This window comes from Homo sapiens, chromosome 6 (assembly GCF_000001405.40).
Source record: "Homo sapiens chromosome 6, GRCh38.p14 Primary Assembly".
In the NCBI taxonomy this organism is placed as follows: Eukaryota; Metazoa; Chordata; class Mammalia; order Primates; family Hominidae; genus Homo; species Homo sapiens.
In genome coordinates, this window is record NC_000006.12 from 50,905,495 (window position 1) to 50,913,699 (window position 8,205).

General features: G+C 34.3%; 1 pseudogene; it reads right to left on the bottom strand.

Moving 5' to 3' along the window:
• On the bottom strand, nt 7,056–7,968 carry FTH1P5 (ferritin heavy chain 1 pseudogene 5; annotated as a pseudogene).

Consider the following 8,205-nt stretch of genomic DNA (forward strand, 5'->3'; position numbering starts at 1 on the left):
TGTTTTCACCTGTAAAGCAAGCATACCACCTGCCTCCCAGAAATGTTTATAAAATCGATGAGTCATGTACTTGTTTATCACCTATCTCTCTCTCCTAAAGGGAGGTGGAAGATTATTAACCCCTTGAGCAGTCATTCTGAAGTGATTAGTAATTAAAAAGGCTCTTTTTTTTTTTTTTTTTTTTTTTTTGACATAGTCTCACTCTGTCACCCAGGCTGGAGTGCAGTGGCATGATCTCGGCTCACTGCAACCTCCACCTCCCAGGCTCAAGTGATTCTCCTGTCTCGGCCTCCAGAGTAGCAGGGATTACAGGCATGCACCACCACGCTAGGCTAATTTTTGTATTTTTAGTAGACACGGGGTTTCACCATGTTGGCCAGGCTGGTCTCAAACTCCTGACCTCAGGTGATCTCCCCGCCTTGGCCTCCCCAAGTGCTGGGATTACAGGCATGAGCCCTGGCCTAAAAAGGCATTTTAAACTAGTTGCTAGGGAAATTTCCCCATAGGAATATTGATTTTGCATGTAGAATAGTCTCTGTCATACAAATAAAATTTCTTTTGGGGTTCTGTAACAGGCAGAAATGTTCAAAGATTATCTCCAATCGGAAGCTCTTCTAAAGAAAAATAAGCAGCAATGAAGTGATTACAAATATGGATTTTGCAGACAAATGGCCTGGGTTCAAAACTCAGTTCTGCCATTTAATAGCCATGTGAGCCTGGACAAGTGTTTTTTGTTTGTTCGTTTGTTTTGTTTTGTTTTTACTTTTCTGTATCTTGGTTTTCTCATCTGTTAATTGGAGATAATAATGGAAACTTCATTTTAAGGTTGTCTTAAAGGTTCACTTAAATGATAGTACTTGTGAAATGCTTCTATGTGTTTCTGGTACAAATTAAATGCTATGTGTTGTTTAATAAAATATCATTCTTGTTATCTCACCTCTTCTATTTGGAATATATGTATTTATAAAAAGTGGAATGAAACCTGTATCTCTCTTACTTTTCAAGTCTTTACTGAAATAGATCCTGTGTTAAAAGGGTTATACGAATTTTCTACACCCCACTAAATTTTTCAAGCTCTCAGCTTGGTCTGCTAATATGGAAAGTTCCAGAGGCATTTCTTAAACTTCCTGGATAGGAAAAAAATCTGCATCTCTATCTCATCTATCTGTATAGGTGTTCCATGTTGGAAAAAAGAATGTCATTGGAAGCAAGGCCTTTGCTTATGTTTAGAACCCCTTTCCTTGTTTTCTTATGGAATATTCTGTTTTTAAAACCTAATCATGATAATCAGTTTGTTGGATTATTAATATACTTCCTTTTTACAGGTTTGCTGCCCTCTCAATAACTCTAAATTTTCAAGTGTTTTATCTATATCTATAAAATTTATCATATTTAAGATTGAATGCCTCTGTTCATGAATTAAAAGAATTTATGTAATTCATTGTTCTTATAAGAAAAAAAATTGCTCAAGCAAGAACTACTGGTCTCCGGGTGCGCACTCTTAGAATATTTCATCAACAATGTTTCCAGAGATCATATAGACTGGGGATAGAAATGCAAGGGTGGAACTGGGAAAGAAAAATGAAGGAAAGTTAATATGGTTATGATAACTTCTAGTTTTCCAAACATGTAAATCTTTAACAGTATACCACTGCCTTACTAGGCATATAGTTAGTCTTAGAGCAAATAAATCTTGTTACTTTTTCTGATCTACTCAATCTCCTTCCCTTCAGGCTGGATTATACCTTATCATACCAGACACGTGAATGAATGTCTATTCAGGTTTTTGTTGTGGCCATTCTTAACTTATGTTTAATTGTCAATGACACAACCGTTTTGAGAGTTATGGTGATCTTCTTTGTCTGAGACTCTTGTAAATGAAATCACAATGTAGTATGCAGCAAGTTGCAAATGAGCTTTTATTTGTTTGTTGGTAGGTTTGTTCAAGGAATTTTTGTTTATTCTATTATTGGCCTAAAAATGTGATGTTGGAAAAGATGATCCTTTTAAGAAATACGATTCTATGAACTTAAAAAAAAAAGATTTAGAATTATGCAACTGTAAATTATGATGAGATTATTATATATTTTTATAGTCAAAGACACACTAATAGAGGAAGAGATCCATAAGGTCTGTTTTATCTTTTCAACCCAAATGAGAAGGATTGAATTCTCAAGCATGAAATTGCCATCTGTGCTTCCCCTTCCCACCCCTCACATTGTTAATACTTTTTTTTTTTTTTTAGCAGACCAGGTGAAGTCAGAACTTTGTTTTAGAAAGAATGATGTCATTGTATAATTGAATGTATACATTCATGAAGCTACTAGGGGTAACAGCTTGTCACTATAAAAATATGCCTGATATAAATTTTTCTTTTCCTTATGCTCCCTTGGATTCTAACCTCATGCTAATAATAACTGCTACCAGTTTTGTAAGCATTTGGTCTGTGCCAGGCACAATGCTAAGTGGTTTAGGTTCATCACTTCTTTTTTAGGCCTTTTAAGAAACTCTTTAGGTAGATGTAATAGTGTAAATATTCCCACCTCATAGTTAAGGGCACTGGAACCTAAAGAGGTTAAATAATCCCCAAATGCCACGAGGCTAGTACTAGTGTTGGGTGTCTATCTCACCTGATTAAACTATTCTTTAGCCTAAGAACATATGCTGACCTTTCTCACATTCACTCCTTTGTTTATGATGTTCTCTCTGCTCAGACTGTTCCTCCACCTCTGCCCATTGAAAATCAGCAGAACCTTCAAAACCCAATGGAAAGTTCTCTCTTCTCTGTAAACTTGTATTGGCATTGTCCGAATTAAACATTCCAGTGCTCCCTCCTATAAAATTTATACACATTTACAGATTAAATGTATTAATATCTTCATGGTATTAACAAATCAAAACTTGAAGCTTAATTATTAGTGTACATGTCTACTCTCTCCACTAGATGCAAAGTACCTAAGAGAAAGCCAGACTGTTCTTTGCTGCAGATTTCTTGAGGACAAGTCTCATGTTTTAGCCATTTGAATAATTATTTATATTTATTTATATCTCATCTTGTTTCAGAGATAATTCAAACAGAATCAAGAATACAGAAAATACAATCATATAGCATAGGAAAGAAACAAGGACAGAGACATAAAGTGGAACCAGAAATGGGATTTAGCAGTGCTTACCATTTGATCTACATATACATTTATTTTTTAAAAACAAGCTTTCCAAAAGCCCACTTATTTTTCTTTGTATTCTTAATGCCAAATGCAGGATCTGGAACATAGTGGGGTCAATAAATACTCATTTAATTGAATACTTGCATGTCAGATGTGGGAGGACAGTGGAGAAAAGATTGGTATTTGAAGTCTGATTACTTAAAAAAATGGTTTGTTGAGATATAACTGATATACGGTAAGCTGCATGTATTTACGTTATAAAGTTTGATAAATTTTGAAACTTATAGACACTTGTGAAACCATCACCATAAATAAAATAATGAAAACTATACAATCAAAAGTTACCTTGTGTTCTTCTGTGTTATCTTGTGTCCTCCTACTATCTAAGCAACCAGTCATTTACTCTCTCTCACTATATATTAGTTTGCTTTTTAAAGAAAGTTATGTAAATGGAATCATCCATATGCAGTGTGTACCAACATTGTTCATTCCCTTTTATTGCTAAATAATATTCCATTATATGGTTGTGCCGTAGCTTGTTTATCTATTTGTGGATGAGCATTTGATCATTAAGGCTTTGACTATTGCAAGTAAAGATGCTAGGAACCTTTATGTACAAGTATTTTTGTGGACTTAGGCTTTCATTTTTCTTGGGTAAATAACTAAGAGAGGAATGGCTGGATTATATGATGGGTGTGTATTTAATTTTTAAAGATATTGCTAATCTATTTTCCAAAGTTTGTGGCATTTTCTGTTTTCATGAGTAGTGTATGAAAGTTCCAGATTTTTCACTACTTTTCCAAACCCTGCCCGACATGGTCAATTAAAATAAAAAATCAGCCACTCTAATAGATGTGTAACAGTACCTCATTGTGGTATATTTCTACAATGACTAATGAGATTGAACATCTTTTTATGTGCTTATTTGCCATCATTTTTCTTCTTTGGGGGAAATGTCTGTTTAGGTCTTTTGTCCATAATTTCATACTTCTATTGGAATTTTTTTTCTTATTACTGAGTTTTGAGAGTTCTTTATATGTTCTGGGTATAAGTCTTTTAACAGATATGTGACTTGTGAATACTTTATCACAGCCTGTGGTTTTCCTTTTCATTCCATTAACTATCTTCTGAAGGCACTGTGACAGAAAATTTTAATTTCAATAAAGTTCAATTTATCAATTTTCTCTGTCACAGATTGTACTTAGGTATTGTAGCTAACAAGTTTGTGCCAATACCTATTTTTTCTAGAAGTTTTGTAATTTTAGGTTTAGCATTTAGGTCTATGATCTATTTTGGGGCAAATTTTGTATATAACGTGAGGTATGGATTGATCTTGGGGTTTTTTTGCATATGGATATCTAATTATTCCAGTATTATTTTCTGATTTTTTGAAAAGACTATTCTATTTACACAGAAATGCCTTTGCAATTTTGTCAAAAACTAGTTTCCCACATATATGTGTGTGTGTGTGTGTGTGTGTGTGTGTGTGTGTGTGTGTTTTGGGGATCTATATTCTGTAGAATTGATGAATTCGTCTTTATACCAATACCACACATGCAGATTCATAATGAGCTTTGACATCAGGTAATGTTAATTCTCTAAATTTACTCTTTTTCAAAGGTGTTTTTGGCTATTCTAGGTCCTTTTATTTTCTATAAATTAAGAATCAGTTTGTCATTTTCTACAAAAAATCCCCTGCTGGGATTATAAATGAAAATTCATAATATTTGTAGGTCACTTTTTAGACTTGATATCTTAGAAATATTGAGTCATTTGACTCAAGAAGATGGTGTATCTATTTATTTAGGGCTTCTTTCAGTGACATTTTGAAGTTTTCACTGTACAGAACTTCCATGTTTTGTCAAATTTATCTCTCCTCACTTTGTTTCTGATGCTACTGCAAATAATGTTATTTTGAAGTTTCAAATCCTGATTGTTTATCAATAATATAGAGAAATACAATTGATTTTTGTATTTTGATTTTGTGTCCTGAAACATTCCTAAATTCAGTGATAAATTCTGTAGATTTTTTTCTCTTGGTAGATATTATCAGATTTCTGGTTATACCTTTGTGAACCATGTTTTTTTACAAATACAGTTTTACTTGTTTCTTATGCCTTTTTCTTTCTCTCTCTCTGAGTAGAAATTCCAGTACAATGTTGAATAAAATTGGTGATAGCAGATACCTCTGTCTTGTTTCTGATGTTTGGGGGAAAGTTTTCAGCCTTTCACTAATAAATATTATAAATATAATGTTTGTTGTAGGTTCTTTGTAAATGCCCTTTATCAAGTTGAGGTAGTTCTGTTTTAGTCTTAGTTTGTTGAGAGTTTTATGAGAAATGGATGTGGGATTTTGTCAAATGCTTTGTTTGTATGTCTGTTGAAATGATTATATGGTTTTTCTTTTTTTGATTGTTAGTATAGTGAATTACATTAATTGATTTGTAAATGTTAAACCAATCTGACATTCCTGGTATAAATGTCACTTTGTCATGATGCCTCATCTTTTTTTATATGTTATAGGATTTGATTTGCTAAAATATTGTTTAGAATTTTTACATCCATGTTAACGAAGGATGTTGGCCAGTAGTTTCCTATTCCGATAATAGCTTTGTCTGGATTTGGTAATAGCATGATGATGGCCTCCAATAATGAGTTGGAACATTTCCCTCCGTTTTAAATTTTCTGGAGGAATTTGCATAGAATTGTATTTTTTTCCTTAGGTGTTTAGTAGAATTCATCAGTGAATCCATCTAGTTCTGAATTTTCTGAGAAAAATTTTAACTAAAAATCCAATCTAACAGATAAAAGATTAGTGTCTTCACTCTTTTTTTCTTGATCAGTCTGGACAAAGTCTTTCAATTTTATTCATTTATTCAAATAATAACATTTTTGTTTTGTTTTTTTTTCTACTTTGTTTTCATTGATTTCTGCTCTTTAAAAATTACAGCATTTATTCTAGTGGCTTTGGATTTTATTTGCTCTTCTTTTCCTAGTTTCTTAAGTCTGAAGCTGAGATAATTGATTTGATAACTTTCTTCTTTTACATTATAAGCATTTAGTGCTATAAATTTCTTCATAGATGCTACTTTAGTGGTATCACATACATTTAACTTGTTCTTTAAAAATTTTCATTCAGTTCCAAATGCTTTTCAGTAACTCTTCTTATTTATTTTTAGACGTATGGTATTTAGTTTCCAATTATTTGGAGGAATTTTTCAGATATCTTTATGTTATTGATTTATTTTTAATAGAACTGCCATATTTACTTATTTTTATTTTAAAAACTTGACAGATAAAATTCTATGTATGTGGACCCTAAAAATGTTGATCTCTTAGAAGTAGAGAGTAGAACAGTAGTTACCAGATTTATTTTTAAAATGTTTTAACTGATTTCTAATTTAATTCTTTTTATTCAGAGAATATACTTTGTGTGATCTGAATGCTTTCAAATTTGGTTGAGACTTACTTGTGATCCAGAATATATTCCATCTTGGTAAATGTTCAGTGTGCACTTCACAGAAAGCTGTTTTTGGGTGAAGGGTCTAGGTCAAACTGATTGATACTCTTCAAATTTTCTATATCTTTACTTATTTCTAGCTAATTAGTCTGCCATTTATTGAGAAAGAGGATTGAAATCTCTGACTATAATTGGAGATCTGTTTCTTTCTCCTTCCAGTTTTTGCTGCATTTATTTTGAACTGTTGTATTAGGTTTAGGATTATGTCTTTTTCATGAATTGACCCCTTTATCACTATGAAATAATCATTTATTACTGGTAATATTCTCTACTCTGAAATTTACTTTGTCTGACATGAATGTAGCCACAGTAGCTTACTTTTTATTTGTATTCACATGTGCTATCTTTTGTCATTCTTTTTTGGGGGGGGGTACCAGATTTCTTTATTTGAAGGAATGGTACAAATCAAAAGAACTTAAGTGGATGTTTTGGTACAACTTATAGAAAAGGTAAAGGAAACCCCAACATGCATGCACTGCCTTGGTGACCAGGGAAGTCACCCCACAGCTATGGGGAAATTAGCCTGAGGCTTAGCTTTCATTATCACTTTCTCCCAGGGTGTGCTTGTCAAAGAGATATTCTGCCAAGCCAGATTCGGGTGCTCCCATCTTGTGCAAGTTGGTCACGTTCACCCAATTCTTTGATGGCTTTCACCTGCTCATTCAGGTAATGTGTCTCAATGAAGTCACACAAATGGGGGTCATTTTTGTCAGTGGCCAGTTTGTGCAGTTCCAGTAGTGACTGATTCACATTTTTTTCCAAATGTAATGCACACTCTATCACATTCAGCCCACTATCCCAGTCATCAGTCTGGTTTCTTGATATCCTGAAGGAAAATTCAGCCACCTTGTTGGTTCTGCAGTTTCATCAGTTTCTCAGCATGCTCCCTCTCCTCATGAGATTGGTGAAGAAAGTATTTGGCAAAGTTCTTCAAAGCCGCATCATCACGGTCAAAGTAGTAAGACATGGAGAGGTTAAAGTAGGAGGCGTAGAGCTCCAGGTTGATCTGGCGGTTGATGGCGGCCTCTGAGTCCTGGTGGTAGTTCTGGCGCACCTGCGAGTTGGATGCAGTCATCATGGCAATGACTAAGGAGAGGCTGCGGCGGCGGTGGCTGCGTGGCGCTGGAGCGGCGGTGGGGGCCTTGGGGTGGTCTGAGGGTGCAGTGAAGACGTGACGGAGGGCTGGCTATGGGCAGCTGGCCTGGGTGGGGGACAAGTGCCGGGTTCCGTCCAAGCACTGCTGAAGCAGGAAACCCCGAGGACTCTTGGTGAAGAATGTCTCTTCTTTTGTCATTCTTCCACTTTTACCCTATCTGTGACTTTATATTCTAAGTGTGTTTTTTTTGTGGTTAGGTCTTGAATTTTCATTATCTATTTGAAAGTCTCTCCTTTTTGATGGGGGTATTTGGACCATTTACATTTAGTGTGATTATCGTGTGATTAGGTTTAAGTCTCTCAGCTTGGTGTTTGTTTTATAATTGTTTTATCTGTTCATTCTCTTTTACTATTATGCTGTCT